Source organism: Homo sapiens, chromosome 14 (genome assembly GCF_000001405.40).
Source record: "Homo sapiens chromosome 14, GRCh38.p14 Primary Assembly".
Classification (NCBI taxonomy): Eukaryota; Metazoa; Chordata; class Mammalia; order Primates; family Hominidae; genus Homo; species Homo sapiens.
Genome location: NC_000014.9, coordinates 91,061,545 through 91,088,715, shown reverse-complemented (window position 1 = coordinate 91,088,715; position 27,171 = coordinate 91,061,545). Strand labels below are relative to the sequence as shown.

General features: G+C 44.1%; 1 protein-coding gene across 3 annotated transcripts in view, besides 2 other annotated features; it reads right to left on the bottom strand.

The window, feature by feature from the left end:
- DGLUCY (D-glutamate cyclase) overlaps positions 1-27,171 on the bottom strand; it is a 165,300-nt gene that overhangs the window by 136,917 nt on the left and 1,212 nt on the right. The window lies entirely within an intron of this gene.
- Positions 10,040-10,229: an enhancer, noted in NCBI's record as "active region_8891". NCBI's record gives its function as "activates an Ori minimal core promoter by ATAC-STARR-seq in GM12878 lymphoblastoid cells {active_cell/tissue: GM12878}" and the evidence as "EXISTENCE:reporter gene assay evidence [ECO:0000049][PMID:35858748]".
- Positions 25,201-25,350: an enhancer, noted in NCBI's record as "active region_8890". NCBI's record gives its function as "activates an Ori minimal core promoter by ATAC-STARR-seq in GM12878 lymphoblastoid cells {active_cell/tissue: GM12878}" and the evidence as "EXISTENCE:reporter gene assay evidence [ECO:0000049][PMID:35858748]".

Here is a 27,171-nt window from a genome sequence, read left to right as displayed (position 1 = left end):
CTGGGAGTTGAGGTCACCGTGGCCTGCAGCAACCCCTGCTTAGGGGAACCCTATGGAAAAGGGTCCTCTTCTCCCCTCTCTCCCTGACCACAACCCCTATCTCTGTCCTGAAAGCACTTTCTTCCTTGGACAAGCTCTGCCCTGGCTCTGAAATCTCATCAGAGGCACTGCTGACAGCAACAGCAATAATAACAGCAGAGAACAAGACACTGAGGGGGACTCATCGGCTTCTCTGATTTTTTTATCTCTAATAGGTAGAAGCTCTAGGACTGTCCTAGTGACTGAGTAGAACCCTGTGGTTGTGGAACTTATCATGGAAGACTTCTTTCCAGGAAGGAAAGAAAAGTATTCTTATAATCGTGGGGTGGAAGCTCCGAATCACATTCAAACTGTCTTATTATGTAACCCCCAGGGAGGTGAAGCAAAACATGATGCTTTATATCACTATTTATTTCCCTTTTCACATATCTTTTACTGTAAATTCCTTGAGGTCAGGGTCACTGTTTTCTAATTCCTTGGCGCTCCAAAACTGGACAAAGCACTTTGCACATATACTGACTTCTCTACATTTACTTGCAATTTCCAATGGGGTCCTCTTCTCCCTGGCTCCCAGCTCACCTTCTCTGCCTGGAACATCTTCCTCTGACCCTTTGCCTGCCCAGCTCCTCCTCCTCCTTGGAGACTCCCCTCTGCTTTCACCTCCCCAAGATGCCTCCTCTGACCTACTGCTGGGTTAGAGGCTCCATCCCTGGGCTGTCTCATTGTAGCTGGCTACAGGTCTGTCTTTCCCGTGTTAGAAAAGCATTTCTTGTTCCCTGGTGCGGTAAAGAAATAGCACTTGAACATAAATTTAATTTCCTTAGCAAGGACATTTTTACTTTCTGCAGAAGGGGTACACTTGCCAGTAGTTTTGTCACGAGAGTACACTGAACAAAGGAGACAGGGTCATTTATAACCTGACGCGTCCACCCTACTGCTGTGCCCAGTTTCCATTGGCTGGAATGGGACCTCACATTCTGTATCTGTCCGGATTGGCTAACAACGTAGAATTTTTTTAAAAAGGCAAAGGCAGAGGAGAACAAAGGAAGGAGGAAGTAACTTGTGCAATGTTGAGAAAGGTAAAAACACCTTCAAATAAGGAAGAGGAACAGGCTATGACCTAATGCTTGCTTGGACCAGTATAAGCATGCCAGGGCAAATATTTAAGCTAAATTGTAGGAGCTAAGAACATAAAGTACATTGATTTCTTTATTACGGCTAGCAAATACTTAAGAATGTTAGCACAGGTCTTTGAATAAATTTTGCTTCTAAGAGAAGTTACTATTTATTTCTAATTAGATGGGGAGGAAAGTCTTTGAAGAGGAACCTCTACTTCACTTTATACACCCATCAGACAGGGGGGGTTCTGTAGGGCAACACAATTCCTGGCATGCAATAGGTGATCAATAAATATTTTTTGAATGGACAAAGATGATTTTGTAAGCAATGTCTGATTCGATTCTAGGCACAGAGAAGATGAATAAGATATTGGTTGAGTCCTTTGAACTTTTGGGGGGCTCGGCTTTTTTAGTCTGTGGAGACCAGGGAACAAGACCAGCTGACATCAATCTTGTGGCAAACTTCTAGACTCTGTTCACCTCTGACTTTCAAAGGTGGGTCCCATGAACTGCAGCCACCTGCATGTGCAGCCCTGATTTGGACCCTGCGGTCAGTCCTGTCCTTGTCCTGGGGGAATTTAGGGAAGTCTACAGCCTGGGCAACATGGTGAAACCCCATCTCTACCAAAAATACAAAAAATTAGCCAGGTGTGGTGGTGCGCACCTGTGGTTTCAAACTTGGGAGGATGAGGCAGGAGAATGGCTTAAGCCTCGGAGGTGGAGGTTGCAGTGAGCTGAGATCGAGCCATTGCACTCTAGCCTGGGTGACAGAGTGAAACTCTGTCTCAAAATTAATTAATTAAATTAAAAAATAAAACATAAAAAGTGTTTATTGAGTGTCTAGCCCTCAAAGCTCACCTGATCTGATAGAGAATCTGAACAGGTATAAAATACAGTCAGCCCTCTATATCTGTGGGTTCCACCTCTGTGGATTCAACCAACTGTGGAGCTAAATTATTCAGAAAAAAAAATGAAAGGTTGTGTCTTTACTGAACATGTACAGGCTTTTTTTCTTGTCATTATTCCCTAAATGATACAGTGTAACAATGGTCTATATAGCATTTACATTGTATTTGATATTATAAGTAATCTAGAAATGACTTAAAGTATACAGTGGGATATGCATAGGTCACATACAAATACTACACCATATCTTGTAAGGCAGCAGTCCCCAATTTTTTTGGCACCAGGGACAAGTTTCACGGAAGACCATTTTTCCATGGACCAGGCAGGGGGTCGGGGATGGTTTGGGGATAATTGAAGTGCATTATATTTATTGTGCACTTTATTTCTATTATTATCACATTGTAATATATAATGAAATGATTATACTCACCATAATATAGAATCAGTGGGAGCCCTGACCTTGCTTTCCTGCAACTAGACAGTTCCATCTGGGGGTGATGGGAGAAAGTGACAGATCATCAGGCATTAGATTCTCATAAGGAGCACAAAACCTAGATCCCTCACATGCGCAGTTCACAATAGGGTTCATGCTCCCCTGAGAATCGAATGCCACCACTGGGGCTGACAGGAGGCAGAGCTCAGGTGATGGGGAGCGACTGTAAACACAGATTGCTTGCTGCTCACCTCCTGTTGTGCAGCCCAGTTCCTAAGAGGCCACAAACTGGTACCAGTACTGGTACATGGCCTGGGGGTTGGGAACCCCTGTTATAAGGGACTTGAGCAGGGCCAGGCATGGTGGCTCATGCCTGTAATCCCAGCACTTTGGGAGGCTAAGGCAGGTGGATCACCTAAGGTCAGGAGTTCGAGACCAGCCTGGGCAACATGGTGAAACCCCAGCTCTACTAAAAATACAAAATTAGCCAGGTATGGTGGTGCACGCCTGTGATCCCAGCTACCTGGGAGGCTGAGGCAGGAGAATCGCTTGAACCCAGGAGGTGGAGGTTGCAGTGAGCTGAGATCGTGCCATTGCACTCCAGCCTGGGGAATAGAGTGAGACTCCGTCACACACATACTAAAAAAAAAAAAAAACAAAAAAAAAACAAAGGAACTTGAGCATTCATGGATTTTGGTATCTGCAAGGGGTCCTGGCACCAATCTTCCATGGATACTGAGGGACAACTGTACCGACTCATAAGAGCTATGGACACAGTGCTGTGGGACCTAGGGGAGGGGAAAAAGATGTGGGGGGTATGGAGAACGTGGCACAGCCCAGGAGGGGCCTTTGAGTTGGCCCTTGAAGAGAGCAGGAGTTTCCCAGGCAGAGGTCAGGACTGAGGACCCACATGGGCAAAGGCACTAAGGGATGAGGTTTACTTGTTTAGCGGAGAGAGCAATCAACAGCTCTGTTAACTTTTTTTTTTTTTTTTTTTTGAGACAGGGTTTTGCTCTGTCACCCAGGCTAGAGTACAGTGGTGTGAACATGGCTCACTGAAGCCTCAACCTCCTGGGTTCAAGCAATCCTCCTACCTCAGCCTCCAGAGTAGCAGGAACGACAAGTGCACACCACCATGCTAGGCTAATTTCAAACATTTTTGTAGAGATGGGGTCTTGCCCTGTTGCCCAGGCTGGTCTTGAACTCCTGGACTCAGACTGTATTACTGTTTTGCCCTTCCAAAGTGTGGGATTACAGGCACAAGCCACCATGCCCACCCTCTTTTAACTTTGAAAAATCACACCACCACCACCCTCCCTTGATAAACACAAAATCTCAGGCTCTCCTTTAACAATTGTGACACACAAAAATAAGCATCATGAGTACAAAACGGAAGTGCAGGCAGGAGAAGGCATTGCTTTGCTTCCAATCTGCACATCCTCACACCCACTTCAAGTCCAATGTATCTCCCCAGGGGTGCCTCTCTCCTCCTCCATGCTGGAAGTCATTCCACTGGTTGGAGTGGAGCAGACCAAAGCTAAGGATTATAGAGAGGAAAGCACCCTGGTGAGATTCAGGAGGAACATTTGGTGACAGGGTGGGCTAGAGATTGGTGCAGACTGAGCAGTTACCACCACTGTAATTGCTTTAGGGCTTGAACGTTAGTGCTAGGGGGTGGGAGGGATGGAGGAGAAGAGATGCATGAGAGACAGATGGGCTGGGCGTGGTGGCTCATCCCTGTAATCCCAGCACTTTGGGTGGCCAAGATGGGTGGGTCACTTGAGGTCAGGAGATCAAGACCAGCTTGACCAACATGGTGAAACCCCATCTCTACCAAAAATATAAAAAATTAGCCGAGCATGGTGGTGGGTGCCTGTAGTTCCAGCTACTCGGGAGGCTGAGGCACGAAAATCTCTTGAACCCAGGAGGTGGAGGTTGCAGTGAGCCGAGATTGGGCCACTGCAATCCAGCCCGGGTGACAGAGCAAGACTCCATCTCAAAAAAAAAAAAAAAAAGAGAGACAGATGATGGTGGAGAGAACTGCTAATGCTTGGAATCGAATAGATGGGGGGCATCCAGGAGCTCAGGCCTTGGCCCAGGCAGCACCCCTCATTCATTCAACAACATGTATTGCCAGCCCTACTGTGTGCCGGAAACTATGCTAAGCACTGAGGACACAGCAAGAACAGGACAGAGAAACTCCCTACTTCCCAAAGGAGGAAGACCACCAGCAGCAGCAAAGAAGAAAATACACAGATGAACAAGATCATTTTGGATAGTGGTCTATGCTATGAAGCCATTAAAGCAGAGAATGGAGATGAGATGAAGAGTAATAGGGGTGGGGTGGACAGAGGGAAGCTACATTAGATTGGGGGCCATGAAAGTGACTCCAAGAAGTGACAGCCAAGCTGAACCCTGAATGGTGCTTTAGCAATGAGCCATGGAAGATCTAGAGGCCCCGAGGTGGAAACACATATTTCTGACACATTATTAAAAAAAAACCAGAAAAACATTGCTGGCATCTCTGTTCTCAAGTTGACACAAAAGCAACAAATGCCTCCATCCCCTAGGAAGGAACTTCAAGGAATGTATTCTCTTGCTGCTGCTTCTCTTGCTTGCTGACAGTAGGACATCTGGGTCAGGCGTGGAGACTCGCTCTTTTACGGATCGTTCTCTCTGTTTTTTTTTTTTTTTTTTGAGACGGAATCTCTCTCTGTCACCCAGGCTTGGAGTGGAGTGGCACGATCTCAGCTCACTGCAAACCCTGCCTCCCAGGTTCCAGCAATTCTCCCACCTCAGCCTCCCAAGTAGCTGGGATTACAGGCATGCACCATCATGCCCAGCTAATTTTAGCATTTTTAGTATAAATGGTGTTTCACCATGTTGGCCAGGCCGGTCTCGAACTCCTGACCTCAGGTGATCCACTTGCCTTGGCCTCCCAAAGTGCTGGGATTACAGACGTGAGCCACTGCGCCCGGCCTTCTCTCTTTGTTCTTTAAGTGGGAGGCAGACCACTACCTCCGATGTGGTGGAGATATAAGTGTGCTTAGGGCAGGCCACAAATGTGGCTCTTTTCCCTGCACTATTCCCAACATGTAGGCATAGGGTTGCAAGTTGGGGCAGGGCATGCAATGCCTGTAGATCTTTCTGAGATGTAAACTCTGATGGTCATGATGGCTTATACCTGTAACCTCAGCCTTTTTGGAGGCCAACGCAGGAGGATCACTTGAGCTCAGGAGTTTGAGACCCACCTGGGCAACATAGTGAGACCCCCATCTCTACCAAAAAAATTTTACAAATCAACCAAGCATAGTTGCGCATGACTGTAATCCCAGCTACTCAGGAGGCTGAGGCAGGAGGATTGCTTGAGCCCAGGAGGTCGAGGCTGCAGTGAGTTGTGATCATACCACTGTACTCCAACCTGGGTGACAGAGCAAGGCCTTGTCTCAAAAAACAAAACAAAACAAAAAAAGATGTGCAACCTACATATCTAACACATTCACCAAAGGCCTGTGATAATGAAGCTGATACCAACAGGAACTTCATGAGGATCCTTCAGCCTGCCTTTAATCATTTTCCAACACTGAAAGGAAGAGGCTTGCAATTAATTGTCATCTTCAAACTTCTAACAGCTGGCTTCAACCTTACAGAACATGATAAGGATTGGGAAATGTCCAATTATAAGAATCACCACCTCTGTAAGTTGAGAGCAAGCCATGTACTCATAAGAATTGCTGGTATTCCTGGTATTGAGATGAGGTGGACTTTGTTCTCAACAATGTTCCTGAAGTAATCACAATAATAAGCTTCACGTGGCTGTTTCGATAAGGCCTCCAAACACAAGCCCAAGAACAACAGAGTCAAAGCGAAGACATTTGGTTAAAATGATGGTCAGAACATCATACTGGCTACACTTGGGTCAGGTACCTCTTTCATGGGAAGGGGGGAGTGTGGCTCACTTTTTATCTTGGAATTCCTCCCAAATAAGAAAGGGTGTTGCATGCAGTCAAACTGACAAATACCCTCTACATGCTCTATCACAATTTCCTTTTTCTTTGCTTTTCCAAATGTTACCCAGCTATAGCAGGCTGAATAATATGCCCCCAATCTCCAACTCCAAAAGATGTCCACATCCTAATCCCCAGAGCCTGTGAATATGTTACTTTACGTGATGAAATTGAGGACCTTGAGGTGGCTTTATTATCTTCGATTTTCTGGGTGGGCCCAATGTAATCATGAAGGTCCTTATGAGTGGGACGACAGGAGGGTCAAAGAGGAGAGAGGAGATGTGACAACAGAAACAGAGGCTGGAGAGGCCAGGAGTGGTGGCACGCACCTGTGATCCCAGCTACTCGGGAGGCCAAGGCAGGAGAATCGCTTGAACATGGGAGGTGGAGGTTGCATGGGCTGAGATGGTGCCACTGCACTCCAGCCTGGGTGACGGAGTGAGACTCTGTCTGAGAAAAATAATAATAAATAAATAAAATAAAATAAAAATAAAGAAACAGAGGCTGGAGAGATGGCCTTTGAAGATAGAGAAAGGAGCCACAAGGCAAGGAGTGCAGACAGCCTTTGGAATATGAAAAGGGCAAGGAAGCAGTCTCCCCTAGAGCTTCCAAATAGGAACACAGCCCTACCGATGCCTCGATCTTAGCCCATAAGACCCATTTTGGACTTCTGACTTCCAGAACTATAAGATGTCTTAAGCCACTTGTAGTAATTTATTTGCAACAGCAGTAGGAAACTAATATACCTGCTAAAATATCACCCTTTGGAAAGGTCATGCTGGCCCTGGCCTATGGCCCTCAAGGTTTGTTCCCGTCTATGAATCCCTATTACTTATGATGAAGTCATTTGAAATTTAGTACCGTATTGCTGTGGGATGTGCCTCCTGTTTTTTCTTGAACATTTCTCTCAGCTTAGTTAACATGGCACTTGTACTTGTTTGTGTAGAACACAGATAGGGCTTACTCATTATTATTCTCTTAATACATGCTTTTTTTTTTGTTTTTTTTTTGAGACGGAGTCTCACTCTGTCGCCCAGGCTGGAGTGCAGTGGCGCGATCTTGGCTCACTGCAAGCTCCGCCTCCCGGGTTCACACCATTCTCCTGCCTCAGCCTCCCCAGCAGCTGGGACTACAGGCGCATGCCGCCATGCCCAGCTAATTTTTTGTATTTTTAGTAGAGACAGGGTTTCGTCACGTTGGCCAGGTGGTCTCGAACTCCTGACCTCAGGTGACCACCGGCCTCGGCCTCCCAAAGTGCTGGGATTACAGGTGTGAGCCACCGTGCCCGGCCAATACATGCTTTTGAATAAATGAATGAAGAGGAGCTCTTTTTCTAGACTTCCTTGCTTTTTCTCAAAGGACTGGATGTTGCACAATGCACACAAAAGGCACTCATATTTGTTGAAGATTTTCCTAAAGTGTAAAGCACTCTTACTAGGACTCCACTTTTCCCCTGGTTTCATATAGATAGTTGAAGCTCTCTTATATGATGAGTTTGGGATGGTTGGTTAAAATGGGAAACCATTAAAAATTACATGTTCTGGGGCTGCGTGTGGTGGCTCATGCCTGTAATCCCAGCACTTTGGGAAGCCAAGGTGGGCAGATCCCAAGATCAGGAGTTCGAGAACAGCCTGACCAACATGGTGAAACCCCGTCTCTCCTAAAAATACAAAAATTGGCTGGGCGTGGTGGCGGGCACCTGTAATCCCAGCTACTCAAGAGGCTGAGGCAGGAGAATCGCTTGAACCTGGGAGGTGGAAGTTGCAGTGAGCTGAGATCGTGCCATTTCACTCCAGCCTGGCAACAGTGCGAGACTCCGTCTCAAAAAAAAGAAAAAATAAATAGTGTCAGTTTCCGCAAAAAGTTAAACACAGACTTACTGTATGATTCGGCAGTCCTACTTCTAGGTGTATACCCACAAGAATTGAAAGCAGAGACTCAAACAGATACTTGTACACCAGTGTTTATCACAACATTATTCACAACAGTCAAAAGGTAGAAACAATCGCAATGTCCATCCACAGATGAATAGACAAGCAGAATGTATGGTATATATACACAAGCCATAAAAAGGAATGAAAATTTGATATATGCTACAACATGGATGAATCTTGAAAACATGATGCTAAGTGAAATAAGCCAGACACAGAAGGAAGAATATTGTATGATTCCACTTCTATGAAGTCCCTATAATAGGCAAACTCATAAGGACAGAAAGTGGAATACAGGTTACCTGGGGGAAGGGAAAAATGGGGGTATTATTGTTTAATGGGTCCGGAGGATGACAGAATGTTTTGGGTGTAGATAGGGTGATGGTGATACAACATTTTAAATGCATTTAATGCTACTGAATAGTACATTTACAAATGGCTAAAATGATATATATCATGTTATATATATTTACCATAATTTTTTAACAGCCATAAAAGCATTCAAACCTTTTTTTCTGAATCTTTTCTAGTACAACAATTTGATATGTGAGCAATTATTTTCTGCATAAAGCTCTTCATCACAGTGTTGTTTATAATCATAAAATATTCTAAAGAACTTAAAAGTTTGTTAGTAGGTGATTTGTTAGGAAATTAGTGTAATCCAAATTATGGACTATCAGGCAGTCATTAGAAATCATGTTTATGTTTGTGACCAGCCCGGCCCATATGGCGAAACCCCGTCTCTACTAAAAATACAAAAACTAGCCGGGTGGGGTGGCAGGCACCTGTAGTCCCAGCTACTTGGGAGGCTGAGGCAGGAGAATTGCTTGAACCTGGGAGGCGGAGGTTGCAGTGAGCGAGACTGCACCACGGCACTCCAGCCTGGCGACAGAGCAAGACTCTGCCTTAAAAAAAAAAAAAAGAAAAGAAAAGAAAAGAAAGAAACAATGTTTATGAAGACATTTTACTGATGTAGGGAAATTCTGATAATATCATGTTAAGCCAAAAAGGGCAGCGTATAATATTGCGCTCAGAATGATTCCCAAGTGTTAAAAATTTTTGAAAAAACACAAAATAAGGCTGGGCGTGGTGGCTTGTGCCTGTAATCCCTGCACTTTGGGAGACCAAGGCGGGCAGATCACTTGAGGTCAGGAGTTTGAGACCAGCCTGGCCAATATGGTGAAACACCGTCTCTACTAAAAATACAAAAATGAGCCAGGCATGGTGGCGGGTGCCTGTAGTTCCAGCTACTCGGGAGGCTGAGGCAGGAGAATCGCTTGAATCCTGGAGGTGGAGGTTGCAGTGAGCTGAGATCATGCCACTGCATTCCAGCCTGGGTGACCGAGTGAGATTCTGTCTCAAAAATAAATAAATAAATAAATAAATAAATAAATAAATAAATAAAAATTAAAAATAAATAAACAGACACAAAATAGAAATATTGGAAGAAAATATTCCACAGTATTACCAGAGGTTGTCCCTGGACAGTTAAAGATCATTTTGCTCCATTTCTTTCTTAGTTTCCTGACTCTCCAGCTTTCTTCAGAGAAAATGAATTACTTTGAAGACCAAAAACCAAAACCCCAAAACTTCAATGTGGCACAGTTCTTGCTTATTTAGGGCTACCACATCCTCTAGGGTACAAGACTACGCTATTTTCTAACAACTGCTACTTTAATCTTAGTTGTTGAGGTCACGCTAGTGTTTTCAAAATGAGGCACATGCTGGTTCACAGAAAGACAGTGAATGAAGGCGTGGGGGGATGGAGGGAGGAAAGAACTCAAAGGAGACCCGCTGCAGGGGAAAATTCTTCCTCACTGCAACCTCCCCATCAAATAGTAGCTTCTAAAACCACAAGTTTTCATTTTCAGGATCAAAGCAGACAACCAAGTTCCTTGAAAGTAAATGTAGGCCAAGGTTATTAAATCCAGTTTTTCAGGGAAACTCAATCTAATTGCTCATTAGCATACCATTCAAAGTAGCTTTTATTAACACTGATTCATACTGCCTTTTAAAAATAATGGAAACAGTTCAAGATCAGCCTGGCCAACATGGCGAAACCCCGTCTCTACTAAAAATACAAAAAGGAGCCAGGCGTGGTGGTGGGCATCTGTAATTCCAGCTACTCGGGAGGCTGAGGCAGGAGAATCACTTGAACCCTGGAGGCGGAGGTTGCAGTGAGCTGAGATTGAGTCCCTGTACTCCAGCCTGGGCGACAGAGCAGCTGTCTCAAAAATAATAATAACAATAAAAACAAAATAGCTTAGTATTTTAAGGCCTGTTAATGTTTACTGCACCAGAAAGACACTACAAGCAGAGTCTGTTTGTGGGGATAGTTTGCTATGAAAAGAAAATTATTTCAGTTAGTTAATATGATTGGAACTAACTTCCTTCCTTCCTTCCTTCCCTTCCTTCCTTTCTTCCTTCATTCCTCTCTTTCTTCCTTTCCTCTTTCTCTTTCTTTCTCTCTCTCCTTTCTTCTTTCCTTCCTCCTTCCCTTCCTCTCTTTCTCTCTCTCTTTTTTTTTTTTTGAGACAGAGTCTCGCTCTGTCACCAGGCTGGAGAGCAGCGGCAAGATCTTGGCTCACTGCAACCTCCGCCTCCCGGGTTCAAGCGATTCGCCTGCCTCAGCCTCCTGAGTAGCTGGGACTACAGGCGCATGCCACTATACCCAGCTAATTTTTGTATTTTTAATAGAGACGGGGTTTCACCATGTTGGCCAGGATGGTCTCGATCTATTGACCTTGTGATCCTCCCACCTCGACCTCCCAAAGTGCTGGGATTACAGGTGTGAGCCACCGTGCCCAGCCTCTTTTTGTTTTTTCTTTGTTCTCTCTCTCTTCCTTCCTTCCTCCCTCCCTCCTTCTTTCTTTCTTTTCTTTCTCTCCTTCCTTCCTTCCTTTCCTTCCTTCCTCCCTCCCTTCCTTCTCCCTTTCTTTTTTTCTCTGCCTCTCTCTCTCCTTCCTTCCTCCCTCGCTTTCTTCTTTCCTCTTTGTTTCTCTCTCTCTCTCTCTCTTTCTCTCTCTCCCCACTCTTTGCTTGCTTGCTTGCCTTGCTCTGACACCCAGACTGCAGTGGCACGATCACGGCTCACTGCGACCTTCACCTCCTTGGCTCAAGTGATCCTCACACCTCAGCCTCCTGAATAGCTGGGACCACAGGCACACACACCACCACACCTGGCTAATTTTATTCATTTTTTGTAGAGACAGGCTCTCACGATGTTGCTCAGGTTGATCTTACTCCTGGGCTCAAGTGATCCTTCCACCTTGGCCTCCCAGAGGCCTGGGATTACAAGCATGAGCAACTGTGCCAGCCTACTGGAACTTTCTGAAACAAAAATCTGATCATGGCACTGCCCTGTGTCCAGGCTGTTAGTACTTCCCATTCCTGTGGAGTCGTGCTGGCACTGTGACCCGGAACACAGGACACCGTGGTCTAGCCCGTAACTCCCTCCCTCATGCAGCCTCATTGCTCTGGGGTTCTGGGAATTTGCAGTCCCCAGCACTCCTGGGACGGTGTCTTGCTTTTTTGTTTTTGCTCTCACTGCCCCCTCTGCCTAGAATCCTGGATTCCTACTCCATCCCTCACCCATGCCCACTCATCTTTCAATCCTGACCCAAGTATCACCATCCCTGTGGAGTTTCCCAGATCCTTCCCAGTAGCTTTGAGCACTTGCCCTTTTCCACCTCCACCGGGTCCTAAACAGGTTCCTATTGGAACACTCAAGACACTATTGCACACACAGTGGCCCTTCCTATCTATGGCTTCTACATCTGCAGACTCTACATCTGCAGACAACCTTGGATGGAAAAGATTCAGGAAGAAAAAAACAATAAAAAATACAAATAAAAAACCCATACAGTGTAACAACTGCTTACCTAGCATTTACACTGTATTAGGTATTATAAGTAGCCTAGAGATTATAAAGTACATGAGAGGATGTGCACAGGTTACATGCAAATATTATATTTCATACATAGAGTAAAATGAGCATCTACAGATGCTACGAACTTGAGTATCCATGGATATTAGTATCCTTGGGGATCCTGGAATTAATCCCCCACAGATACTGAGGGAGACTGTACTTGTTTCTATGTCTGTCTTCTCTTACCTAGCTATGAGCTTCTTAAGGGCAGGCACTGTTTTCCATCTTTTTTTTTTTTTTTGAGACAGAGTCTCACTCTGTCACCCAGGCTGGAGTGCAGTGGCACAATCTTGGCTCACTGCAGCCTCCACCTCCCAGGTTCAAGCAATTCTCTTGCCTCAGTCTCCCAAGTAGCTGGGATTACAGGCACCCACCACCACGCCCAGCTAATTTTTGTATTTGTAGTAGAGATGGGGTTTCACCATGTTGGCCTGGCTGGTCTCGAACTCCCAACCTCAGGTGATCTGCCCACCTGGGCCTCCCAAAGTGTTGGGATTACAGGCATGAGCCATTGCTCCCGGCCTGTTATCCATCTTTATAACCTCTGTAGCACTGGCACACAGAAAGGGTCCAGTAAAGATGCTGAATAAATAAGGAAATGAACCACCCGGGCTAGTGCTGATTGCTTCTTTGGTGGTAGCAAACATTGACTTCAGGTATTATAAGACGCATTTGGTCAAGAGGAAGGAGCAGCCCTTACTCCATTTCCTCTTGTCCTTTCCCACAGTCAGCCAGTTAGAAAGACTAAAGCAAGCAGGAAAATAAAACAACAACCCTGGAGGACGCACTTATTTTGAGGAAGAGAACCCAAATCAAAGCAAACTAAAAAGCTCCAATACAATATATTCAGAAAGATAGGATGCCCAACAAAGGACAAACAAGGGCTCTTATTAATTAAAAACATGACTCTAGGTAGGGTGCGGTGGCTCATGCCTGCCATCCCAGCACTTTGGGAGGCTGAGGTGGGGAGATCACTTGAGGCCAGGGGTTCGAGACCAGCCTGGCCAACATGGTGTAACCTTGTCTCTACCCTAAATACAAAAGACAATTGGCCCTGGAAAGCCATGAAAGTAAATGCTACTGTGACAACCCTGTAGGAGGAGGATGATGAGCCTCAGAGAGGAGGCCTTAAAAACTCAGCAAAATACCTAATTGGATAAAGAAACTAGGGTAAAATGAACCATGATAAAGAAAAAATGCAAGAAAGGCAAATAGAAGATCCAAGGGGAAAGAAGTTTGTACGATAAAAAGAAGAGCAATTCTTCTTTTTTTTTTTTTTTTGAGACGGAGTTTCTCTCTTGTTGCCCACGCTGGAGTGCAATGGCACGATCTTGGCTCACTGCAACTTCCACCTCCTGGGTTCAAGCAATTCTCCTGCCTCAGCCTCCTGAATAGCTGGGATTACAGGCATGCGCCACCACACCCGGCTAATTTTGTATTTTTAGTAGAGATGGGGTTTCTCCATGTTGGTCAGGCTGGTCTTGAACTCCTGAACTCAGGTGATCTGCCAGCCTCAGCCTCCCAAAGTGCTGGGATTACAGGCATGAGCCACCATGTCCAGCCAAGAAGAGCAATTCTTATAAACATTTTGCCTCTTCAGAGAAAATAATATTAGAGAATACTGCAATATGGTTTTTGCCATTACTTTCAATGGCAAAAATGACAATTACTTTTGCACCAACCTAATAAATGCTGTTTAAGTGATTTTCATGTTTTACGGTCAGTCTGTGGAATACTTAATTATGGTTAAGAATAGAAGGTAAATGTTTTTTAGCCATAAAATTATATGGGGCAGAAATTGGGAGGTAGATGTCAGAGAGAATCTGTCTGAAGAACAAAGATGCTGTTACCTTCATTCTTTTTTTGTTTTTTTGAGTCAGGTTCTCACTCTGTCACCCAGGCTAGAGTCCAATGAGACCACATCATAGCTCACTGCAGCCTCGAACTCCTGGGTTCAAGTGATCCTCCCACCTCAGCCTTCTAAGTAGCTAGGACTATAGGTACATGCCATCACACTCGGTTTATATATATATATATATATTTTTTTTTTTTTTTTTTTGAGACAGGGTATCGCTCAGTTGCCCAGGCTGGAGTGCATGGCACAATCACAGCTCACTGCAGACTTGGCCTCCTAGGCTCATGTGATCTTCCCACCTCAGCCTCCCAAGTAGCTGGGAATACAGGTGCTTGACTGTGTGTGTGTGTGTGTGTGTGTGTGTGTGTGTGTGTGTGTGTATATATATATATATTTTTTTTTTTTGGTAGAGATGAGGTCTCATTATGTTGCCCAGCCTGGTCTCAAACTCCTGGGATCAAGCAATCTGCCCACCTCTACTTCCCAAGGTGCTGGGATTATAGGTGTGAGCCACCGTGCCAGGCAATTTTTAAATTTTTTTGTAGAGATGGGGGTTTGCTATATTGCCCGGGCTGGTCTTAAACTCCTGGCCTCACACGATTCTCCCACCTTGGCCTTGCTAACTTCATTTATCTTCAATTTATCTTATGCAGTAAGACGGTCATAGCTCACTGCAGCCTCGAACTCCTGGGTTCAAGTGATCCTTCTGCCTTGCAGGTTCTTGAAGGTGTAGGGCTGAGGTCCTTGTTTCCTTGTTGGTTGTTGGCAAGGGAGCGGCTCTTAACTCCTAGAGGCTGCTCCTCAGGGCCTTTCCACTTGGTCCCCTCCATTTTCAAAGCCAGCAACCAGATAACCCTTTTGCATTAAAGATTTTTCATGCAGCCAGGAGCGGTGGCTCACACCTGTAATCCCGACGGGGATGGATCACTTGAGGTCAGGAGTTTGAGGCCAGCCTGGCCAATATGGCAAAACCCTGTCTCTACTAAAAATACAAAAATCTCTACTAAAAACACAAACATTAGCCTGGATGACAGAGTTAATTTTTAAAAAATTTTTTTGAGATGGAATCTCACTCTGTCGCCCAGGCTGGAGTATAGTGGCACGATCTTGGCTCACTCCAACCTCTGCCTCCCAGGTTTAAGCAATTCTCGTGCCTCATCCTCCTGAGTAGCTGGGACTACAGGCGTGTGCCATCACACCTGGCTAATTTTTGAACTTTTAGTAGAGATGGGGTTTATCCATGTTGCCCAGGCTGGTCTCGAACTCCTGAGCTCAGGCAATCCATCCGCCTCAGCCTCTCAAAGTGCTAGGCATGAACCACTGCACCTGGCCTGTAATTAACTTTTATGACATCTGCAAAATCCTTTTCACCACATAAATCACATAATCATGGGTGTAACACCTGGTGACAAAAGGCATGGGAGCCATCTTCCATCTTATCCTTCTATTCCACACTACTCAAGAAAAATGACTGTTATTTTTATTTTATGTTTTTTATTTTTTTTGCTGTCACCCAGGCTGGAGTGCAGTGGCATGATCTTGGCTCACTGCAAGCTCTGCCTGCCGGGTTCATGCCATTCTCATGCCTCAGCCTCCCGAGTAGCTGGGACGACAGGCGCCCGCCACCGTGCCCAGCTAATTTTTTGTATTTTTAGTAGAGACAGGGTTTCACCATGGTCTTGATCTCCTGACCTCGTGATCTGCCCGCCTCGGCCTCCCAAAGTGCTGGGATTACAGGCATGAGCCACCGCACCTGGCAATGACTGTTAGTTTTATATAGAATGAGCTTTTCTAAAAAGCTTTAGAAAGCACCATGAGGAAGTTTTGTTTTTTGTTTTTTTTTTTGGTGTCTCAAATCTCACTTTCTGGAAACAGCCATCAATATTTGGTATATGTCATCTGAATTTGGGCATGCAGAGCAAAAAGATCAATAGATAACAATGGAATTTTATTCTGCAAATTATTTTTAAGTAAAATTAAGTTTAATTTTACAGAAAACAGAAATTAAGTAAAATAGAAATAATTGCTGAACTTCAGCTAAATGTTTGTAAACCACAAAAATTCCTAAAATAATCCCCTTAAAGATAAGAAAAAACGAACACAAAAATCATCAAGAAATTAGAATCGTGTCTGTTTTAAAAAGCTGCAGTTCATGGAGTTCTTTTTTTTTTTTTTGAGACAGAGTCTCATTCTGTTGCTCACGCTGGAGTGCAGTGGTGTGATCTCAGCTCACTGCAACCTCCAACTCCCACATTCAAGAGATTCTCGTGCCTCAGCCTCCCGAGTAGCTGGGATTACAGGTGCATGCCACTATGCCTGGTTAGTTTTTTGTATTTTTAGTAGATAAGGGGTTTCCCCAGGTTGCCCAGGCTGATCTTGAACTCGTGGGCTCAAGCGATCCTCCTGCCTGGGCCTCCTAAAGTGCTGGGATTGTAGGCATGAGCCCCAACGCCTGGCTGGAGTTCATTTTTTAGACTGGATTATTTTCCAGCCATTAAAGATGAGTAAATTTACATGCTTAGAAATCTTCCAACTGCCCTTTCCCCTCACTTCCCCATTTTTGTTAGGTGTATAATTATGTTCACAGTATAAGAGTTTGGAATGTTTACATTTTGTTCTTTTTTTTTTTTTTGAGATGGAGTCTCACTCTGTTACCAGGCTGGAGTGCAGTGGCGCGATCTTGGCTGACTGCAACCTCTGCCTCCTGGGTTCAAGCGATTCTTCTGCCTCAGCCTCCTGAGTAGCTGGGACTACAGGCACCCACCACCACGCCCAACTAATTTTTGCGTTTTCAGTAGAGACGGGGTTTCACCATATTGGCCAGGCTGGTCTCAAACTCCTGACCTCGTGATCCACCCGCCTTGGCCTCCCAAAGTGCTGGGATTATAGGCGTGAGCCACCACGCCTAGCCTACATTTTGTTCTTTAACCATAAATTCCACAGCTATTTATTCTTGGTTCTGTATTTAAAACAATTCAAAACTCATCTTCAGTATTTTTTTTAATCCTCAATTCCTTCCTTGATTTCTTTATTTTGATTAATCTCTTGGTTGAATAATTTCAACGTAAAAAACTTTTTTTTCAAGAATGTGGAAACTCTTGAGTTAATTCATGCTCAAGAATGACTGCCAACAGCCTTTAGACTTCTTTTTTTTTTTTTTTTTTGGTGGAATCTCGCTCTGTTGCCCAGGATGGAGTGCAGTGGTGCAATCTCAGCTTACTGCAACCTCTGCCTCCTGAGTTCACACCATTCTCCTGCCTCAGCCTCTTGAGTAGCTGGGAATACAGGCGCGTGCCACCACACCTTGCTAATTTTTTTTTTTGTATTTTTAGTAGAGACGGGGTTTCACCGTGTTTGCCAGGATGGTCTCTATCTCCTGACCTTGTGATCTGCCAGCCTCAGCCTCCCAAAGTACTGGGATTATAGGTGTGAGCCACCACACCTGGTCAGCCTTTAGACTTCTTAAGGGACAATTTGGCAAAATATAAAATTCATGAGTCACAGCTTCATGCCCTTAAGTTTTATAAACCTTGCTTCATTGTCCTTTAACATTGTGTTGCTCTTGGTTTTTAAAAATCTGATGTACTTTGTTATTGATCACTCTGTACTCATTTTACCTTGACACAGTGTGTGCTTTCTACCTGCTGACTCAAGTCTTCATTTTGGTTAAGTTTCCTCCATTATTCTATTGTTTCATTTGTTCTGACTTGGTCTTCAGGAATGCCAATTATGCATCTATTGGATCTCTATTGCTTATTTTCCATAACTATCAAATGTTTATGATTATGTTTATTTCTTTGTTCTTTTCCATATTGTTCCATTGTTTTCCCTCTTGTTCATTCTCTTTTGGTTGATTCCAAAGTGGCTTTCCTGTCTTTCTTTTCTTGAGATTTGCCACTCAGTTTTTTCCTCTTTTGTTGTTCTATAATTCCTTACTTTTACTTCTGAACCTCACCTTTGAGTATTTTTTTTATTTTAAAAAGAGATAACTTTGTAATTTCTCTGATGTGATGGAGAATTATTTGTTAAATAGCATGGGTAGAGGAAGAAGAAGGACTTTGAGGCAATCGGCTGCTTCACTTTAGTGTGTTTCCAAATCTGTTGACAGTATTTCCTCTCCATGAGAGAATGTCTCTGAGATTCTCAGGTTTTGGCTCTCAGGAGGTGCCAAGGCCCCCAGCAAAGCCCTGTCACTCTAGGCTCTCTGGGTTCTAATCTAGAAATTATTTCTCTACCCCCTTCACCCCCTCATCTCCAAGAGACTCTTTTGGCTTGGAGGGCAGGTCACAAAAAATAGAAATAAATAACCATCCTCCAGCTTCTCCCTAATTTTGACCCTCCCTACTATCATACTGGTTCTTCAAAGGAACACTACCAGTTTTTCCTGGGTCTTGTAAGTCAAATATAAATTTCAGTCATTTGAGTACCACTTCCACAATTTTTGCCTTATCTGTAGATCACCTATACTAAAGTCGATTTTTTTTCTTTAAATTAATTCCCAGTTTTTTCAACTAAATGCCTTCTTATTTAAAAAGGAGGTATATTCAAAAATTAGCTGGGTGTGGTGGCAGGCACCTGTAATCCCAGCTACTTGGGAGGCTGAGGCAGGAGAATCACTTGAACCCTGGAGGGGGAGGTTGCAGTGAGCCAAGATTGCACAACTGCACTCCAGCCTGGGTGACAAAAAAAAAAAAAAAAAGAGGCATATCATTATCATAAGTGAAAAATATCAAGCTGGGCACAATGGAACTACACAATAGCTGTAGTTCCAGCTACTTGGAAGGCTGAGGTGGGAGGATGGCTTCAGCCCATGTGTTCTGTAACCCAGCCTGGGCACATTTCTTAAAAAAAAAGAAGGAAAAGTAAAGAAAGTATCACTTGCCATAAATAGAAAGTAAATATTAAAATAAATGCAATGAGGCTGGGTGCGGTGGCTCACGCCTGTAATCCCAGCACTTTGGGAGGCTGAGGTGGGCGGATCACCTGAGGTCAGGAGTTCGAGACCAGCCTGGCCAACATGGTGAAACCCTGTCTCTACTAAAAATACAAAAAAAATTTAGCTGGGCATGGTGGTGGGCGCCTGTAATCCCAGCTACTTGGGAGGCTGAGGCAGGAGAATCGCTTGAACCCGGAAGGTGGAGGTTGCAGTGAGCTGAGATCACGCCACTGCACTCCAGCCTGGGTGACAGAGCAAGACTCCGTCCCAAAATAGAAAATAAACAATAAATAAGTGCAACGAAAACAAAACTTTAGTAAGTTCTAGCCAGATACAGTTGTCTGCTGGGAGCTGAGTCTGAGGTCTGCATTTTCCTTGTTAGAAAGAATGATTAGGACAAATTAGAGAAAAGTTAAAGACTACTGGCACCAAACCAAGGCTTTCTTCTTGATATAATCACAAATGAAAGGGAACTAAAAAAAAGAATCACTTTTTCATTAGGTTATTTAATATAACTCAATGACTCTTCATGTACCACCTAAACTTACTTCACTCTTCCCTAATAACACAAGTCTCCTTTCCCCTTTGGGAAACACCCCTCCAATCCAAGGATCAATGATTTGGTGCCTCTAAGGAAACATATTGCCTGCTCATGGATGTAGGCACTGTACATTGACTCTTAGCATTTCATCAATTTTAGTACAGACTTTGCAGTATTTGGCAGGCATACCTCATGGTTTGTGGTTTGAGGTTCTGAGAGTTTCCTTGTTTCATTAAAAATGGGACCTTTTCTATGTTTTTGCTTTGCTTTCTTTTTGTATTCCGTCCAGAAGATTCCAAGGGAGGAGAGAGGGAGTCCAAATATCTTTATTTTGTTTTATTTTATTTTTTTTGAGGTGGAGTTTCGCTCTTGTTGCCCAGGCTGGAGTGCAATGGCACGATCTCAGCTCACTGTAACCTCCACCTCCCGGGTTCAAGTGATTCTCCTGCCTCAGCCTCCTGAGTAGCTGGGATCACAAGGCATGCCCCACCACGCCTGGCTAATTTTGTATTTTTAGTACAGACGGGATTTCTCCATGTTGGTCAGGCTGATCTCAAACTCCCAACCTCAGGTGATCCACCCTCCTCAGCCTCCCAAAGTGTTGGGATTACAGGTGGGAGCCACCGTGCCCGGCCCCCAATATCTTTATATCTTTTAATTGGATATATATGTGATGCGCATCCCTCTGAAATCTCTCACAGCTGTGTGCTGGTTGGCACAGGTTGAAACGGAGGTGGAACATCTTAAACTTGAATCTTCCCTTTCGTCCTAGTGTTCCTCATCTGCAATGCTAGGAAGGTTGCTAAGCTAGAAAGGTAGTATCTGGTGCATCAAAAGGTAAGGTGAGGACACTGCTTACTTGCTGCTGCCCCCTTCGCAAGACTGTCTCTCTGTGAATGCAAGGGGTGTGTGTGTGTGTGTGTGTGTGTGTGTGTGTGTGTGCGTGCGCGTGTGTGTGTGTGCACGCGCCAGTACATTCCCAACCTTCTCACTTTGTAACTGTGGTGACATGTCAACTTCAGCAGTGGTGGGTGTCTTCAGTAAGTGTGAACTTCACACCACCCCCTAACTGTGTTGGTCTTTGTATCTTGCAGTCTCTTCAACTTACTGGCTCTATATCACATGGCAAAGGTACTGACAGGGTCAAAAATAGTATTAAGATATTGATAATGGGCCAGGTGCAGTGGCTCAGGCCTGTAATCCCAGCATTTTGGGAGGCCGAGGTGGGTGGATTGCTTGGACCCAGGAGTTCGAGACCAGCCTGGGCAACAAGGTGAAATCCCATCTCTACAAAAAAATACAAGAATTAGCTGGGTGTGGTGGCATGTGCCTGTAGTCCCAACTACTTGGGAGACTGAGGTAGGAGGATTGTTTGAGCCCAGGAGGCAGAAGTTGCAGTGAGCCGAGATCGTGCCATTACACTCTGGTCTGTGGAACAGAGTAAGGCCTTGTCTCAAAAAAAAAGAAAAAAAAAAAGATATTGGTAATGTAGTTTTTGACTTTTTGAAAGATTTTCTTTCTTATCTATGTATACTTTGAAGTGTTTTGATAGAGCCAGTTAAAGGAAAGTATGATGTGGTGGGCCTTGGGTGTTTCCTACTTCCTATAAATGCAAAGGTGAGGAACTTCCTGCTCACATTGCCTAAATGGTAAGATTAATCAAGTCCTAGTGGCTTACGCCAAGTGAGGCCCTCTCCCCCCTTGCTTACTTATATAACTAAATGACTGTCCATGTACCACCTAAACTTCTCATCTCTCCTAATGAAAAAGTGTTTTTTTTTTTGGTTCCCTTTCATTTGTGATTATACCAAGAAGCAAGCCTGGGTTTGGTGCCAGTAGTCTTTAGCTTTTCTCTAATTTTTACCAATCACTCTTCTTTTTTTTGTTCTTCCTCAATCTACTCAACATGAAATAACTCTTTCTTTTTTTTTTTTTTTTTTTGAGATGGAGTCTCGCTCTGTCACCCAGGCTGGAGTGCAGTGGTGCAATCTGGGCTCACTGCAAGCTCCACCTCCCAGGTTCACACCATTCTGCTGTCTCAGCCTCCCAAGTAGCTGGGACTACTGGCGCCCGCCACCATGCACGGCTAATTTTTTTTTTTTTTTAGTAGAGACGGGGTTTCACCGTGTTAGCCAGGATGGTCTCGATCTCCTGACCTCGTGATCCACCCGCCTCGGCCTCCCAGAGTGCTGGGATTACAGGCGTGAGCCACCGCGCCCGGCCGAAATAACTCTTTCTAGCAAGGAAAGTATAGACCTCAGACTCAGCTACCAGCAGACAACTGTATCTAGCTAGAACTTACTATCATTTTGTTTTCATTGTATTTATTTTAATATTTACTTCCTGCTTCCTGTTTATGGCAAGTGATAGTGGTTTTTCTTTTTCCTTTGGTTTAGAGATGGGGTCATGCTATGTGCCCGGGCTGGATTCAAGAACTCCTGGGCTCAAGTGATCCTCTCCGCTTCTCAGTGAAGAGGTATAAAGCTAAGGATAGGTGAGACCACATAGAATGGTGCCACAGACATAGGCTTACAACAAAAGGGGGTGAGCACGGACCCCGTTCTGGCAGCAGGTACCAAGCCAGCCTGGATAAAGTCAGTTTCTTTTCTTTCCTTCTTTTTTTTTTTTTTTTTCTTTTTTTTTTCAGATGGGGTTTCACTCTGGTACCCAGCCTGGAGTGCAATGGCGCAATCTCAGCTCACTGCAACCTCTGCCTCCCGGGTTCAAGTGATTCTCCTGCCTCAGCCTCCCTGGTGGCTGGGATTACAGGCATGTGCCACCAGGCCCGGCTAATTTTTCTATTTTTAGTAGAGACAGGGTTTCACCATGTTGGCCAGGCTGGTCTCAAACTCCTGACCTCAGGTGATCCTCCTGCCTTGGCCTCCCAAAGTGCTGGGATTACAGGCGTGAGCCACCACGCCCAGTGGATAAAGTCAGTTTCTGAGAGGAAGAAACATATTTTCAAGGTCTTTTCTTGATTACTCTTCTGGCCATAGCAGAAATCTGACCTTTTGCTGGACAACCTCTCTGTCTCAGCCTTTTCACGGACCCCACCCTCTCTACTTCTCCATCTCTCAGGGCAGGAGGGAGCAGTGACTTTTTCCTCACTTCCAGCTGCTGCATCCTCCAGGCCATAGTCCATTATCTCACCCCAGTTCAACAACTTTTCCTCATTTGACTCCAAGCTGTCTGGTCACATCACTAATCACTCAAGCCCCGCACCCATTTAATTTGGTGTTTTCAGCTACTCATTTATAATTTTCCCTCCTATTTTCTCTAGTGTCATCACTACCTCTGAAAAGTTGCTGTTTTTTCCAAAACTCCAATTTGCTCTTATTTACCACTGTCTGCTCTAATAGTTGTGCAAGAGTTGTGCATTACAAACTTGGTTGTACATTAGGTTAATGATGTGGGGAGCTTTAAAAAAAATCCCAAAGTCCAGGCCCAACCCCAGACCAATTTAAGTCACATTCTTTAGGGGTAGGAGTGGTGGAGATTTTTGTTTTGTTTTGTTGTTATTTTTCAGTATCCCAGGTGATCCCGATGTTCAGCCAAGGTTGAGAACTCATCCATACTAGCGCCAACTCCTTGGACTCCATCCTATTCTTCCAGGCTAGCAGCTTATCCTGGCTTCATTGCCTTCTCACCCAGCTTAGGCCCCAGGGTCATTCACTTTAACCAGGTTGTTGCCCAACCGCTCATCTCCCACCCAGAGGGGATATGTAAGTTGCTAGAGAAAGACACTTCACTATCCTGATTCAGGCTTTCTAACTCCACTGGAGCCCTGTGCTAATCAGCGTTTATACAAGCTGCCTGGATAGATCTATTTCTCATAGTGGCTGTTCCAACCTGTTTCCACTCTCCTCAGATCCCTAACCCATGCCCTCCCCTCCCTCCTATCACTCAGCACAGTGCTTAAGTCTGTGGAAGAAACTCTTCCTACATGTGTGCACATTTAAGTGATCATATGGCGTGCTTCTGCTTTACTAAGTTTACTAAGTTTTGCAACTCTTCTGCAATTTTAAAATTATTTGAAAATAAGATTAAAAGCCAAAAAACCGAAAAACTCCCTGGATCCCTCCAGCTAGGATCTTTGTTCTCTATTTTCCTTTGGAGAAAAATATGTCCCCACACATGGTTACTACTTCCTCACCTTCCATTTGCCTTGCCAAAACTGCTCTGGATATTGTCATCAGTGGTACCCAAGTTGACAAATTCAGTGGATCTTTCTAGACCTCATGTTATATGACATCTTAGGGTATCTGATACAGCTGACCATTCCCTTCTTCTGGAAATACTTTGGCTTCCAAGATACAAAACTCTCCAGGTTTTCCTTTTCTACCTCTAGCTCCACCTTCTTATTCCAACTTTTCTTTTCTTTTTTTTTTTTTTTTTTTTTGAGACAGAGTCTGACTGTGTCACCCAGGCTGGAGTGCAGTGATGCGATCTCAGCTCACTGCAACCTCTGCCTCCTGGGTTCCAGTGATTTTCCTGCCTCAGCCTCCCGAGTAGCTTGGATTATAGGCATGCACCACCATGCCCAGCTAATTTTTGTATTTTTAGTAGAGATAGGGTTTCACCTTGTTGACCAGGCTGGTCTTGAATTCAAGCGATCTGCCCATCTCAGCGTCCCAAAGTGCTGAGATTACAGGCATGATCCACCGCACCCAGGCTTCTCCCTAGGTAATCTCATTCGTACCTCTGGCCTCAAATGTCATCTATGTGCCAGTGATTCCTAAGCTTACATCCCTATGCTAGACCTCTCTTCAGAGCTCTAGACTCATATATCCACATAGCTACTTAATTTTGGCCCTGGATGTCTCAAAATTAAACTCTTGATGTTCTCTCTCATATGTGCTCTTCCTTTAATTTGTCCCTTTCATTATTAAATGGTACTGCCATCCTCTTCCAGCCACTAGCTGCTCACGCTAGAAACACTGGTGTCATTTCAGATATTTCCATTTTTCTCACTAACCAAGTCTAATCCTTCAAGTTCAAAATATAAACATAGAAATGTTCCATTTCTCTCCATCTCTACTGCACCCACTCTCATCTTTTGCCCAGATTACAGTGATAGCCTCCTAACTGGTCTCCTTGTATCCCATTTTGCCTTCTCCAGCGCAGTCTCCAAACACTAACTTCAGTGACCTTCTGAAAATACTACCACGATTATATCATTCCTGTGTTTAAATTCCTTCTACTGCTTCCCACTTCACACAGGATAAAGTCCAAAAATATTAATAAGAGCAACCACATACTTCCTGACCGGGCCTCTGCCCACCTCCTGAACCTCATCCCTTGCTTACTGCATTAAGGCTCCACTGCCTTTCTCAATCTCTCAACCGAATAGGCTCTTTGCCTGCCTCAGGACATCTTCCTAAAATTTTGATCCCTCCATATTACACATATGAAGTAGTATAAGGCTAGATTATGCTTTGGTAGCAAATAATCCCATCTAACTAGCTTATGCCTAAAACGGTGTATGTATTGCTCACATCACAGTCTGACATAGGTCAGGTGGCTCCTTAAAGAATTAAGTGGAAACTCAGGGGTTCAGAGTCCTCCCAGTCTGTGGCATACCCACATTAAAAATGTGGCCTTTGTTACAGCAGTTGAAAGAGAAGAGTGTGAGTGATTATGCAAGGAGTTTTCTGGTCAGGCCTGAAAATGTTATATATCATACCAATAGGATCTGCCCATACCCCATTGGCCAGATCATAGTCATATGACCCTAACCTAACTGCAAAGGAGGTAAGAAAAAAAAAAAAAAAGTCTTCCTGTGTGTCTAGGAAGAGGAAATGAGATTGGTGAACATCAGGCTACTTTTTGCCACATCCTGGTTAAAACCTACTCATTTTTAAAGTCTCAGCTTAAATAATACTTACTTACAAAGGTCTTCCAGCTCCTCCAACTTAAATTAGGCATCCCTGATACATTCTATTGTAGCACCCTGTAATTTTCCTTTACAGCATGATCACAATGGAAAGTTTATATTTCTTTATGTGATTAATATTTATATCTGTTGCTAGACTGTAGGCTCTATAGGAGCAAGGACTGCATCTGTTTTGCTCCCACTGTGTCTCTAGCACCTATTACAGTACTTGGTATATAACTGGTATAAAAGTTTTCGAGTGAACAAATGAACAGTTGCACACAGTCATTGCCTGGCTCCAAATAGCACATGACTTTTGCAGGAGAAAGACAAGTAAGTAGGCAGTCATGGTTTAGTGTGATGATAAATGTTCCAGGCAGGTAAGCCCAGGGAGCTGTGAAAGCAACCTGAAGGAACTTGCAAGGCTTCTGTGTTTTGTCTTTCACAGCAGTCGAATCCAGGAGTCTGCAAACTATGGCCTGTAGGCCAAATCTGGCTCATTGCCTGTTTTTTAACTGCCCTTGAGCTAAGGATTGTTTATATATATATATATATATATATATATATATATATATATATATATATATATATTTTTTTTTTTTTAGACAGAGTCTCGCTCTGTTGCCCAGGCTGAAGTGCAATGGTGTGATCTCGGCTTACTGCAACCTCCGCCTGCCAGATTCAAGCAATTCTCCTGCCTCAGCTTCCTGAGTAGCTGGGATTACAGGCGCCCACCACCATGCCTGGCTAATTTTTTGTATTTTTAGTAGATTCAGGGTTTTGCCATGTTGGCCAGGCTGGTCTTGAACTCCTGACCTCAGGTGATCCATCTGCCTCAGCCTCCCACAGTGCTGGGCTTACAGGTGTGAACCACTGCGCCTGACCTGTTTTTATATTTTTAAGTGATTCAAAAATAATTAAAAGAAGAATATATTACGATACATGAAAACTATGTGAAATTCAAATTTCAATGTCCATAAAAAATATTCTATTGGAACACAGCTACTTCTTTTATTTATTGTCTATGACTGCTTTTGCGCTACAATGGCAGAGCTGAGTAGTTGTGAAAAAGGTCATACAGCTTGCAAATCCTAAAATATTTACTATCTGGCCCTTAATAGAAAAAAGTGTGCTGACTCCTGATCCAATCCATGCTTAGTTTAAAAGATCACATCTATCTGAATTACGTCCAACTGTACATCTTTAAGTTTCTGCTTTTTCCCATTCTCGTGTCTGCTACTAGAAATCAGGTTCCCTTTAGTTCTATCCTTGCAGCAGGATTCCTGCCCTGCTATCTCTCTCCTCTTTTCAGTTCATCACTGTGTACTAAAAAAAATCTGCACTCTTCAGCACAGCATCCCTAGTTCCCCATTATCTTACCACACCTCACCTTGTCAGCTGTATCTCTTACATCATACTTTCATCTAACCTTATCAATCACTTAACCCACCCTTGCCTTCTCTGCTGTAGGCCAATGCTCACAGTTACTCTCTCTGTGTGGAATGTCTATTGCTGGTATTTCTCTCTTATCCATCCTTTACGTTGGTTATCTCAAATGCCTCCTTGCCCTAAAAGCTTTCCCCAGTTCCTCGTCTGGGAATAATT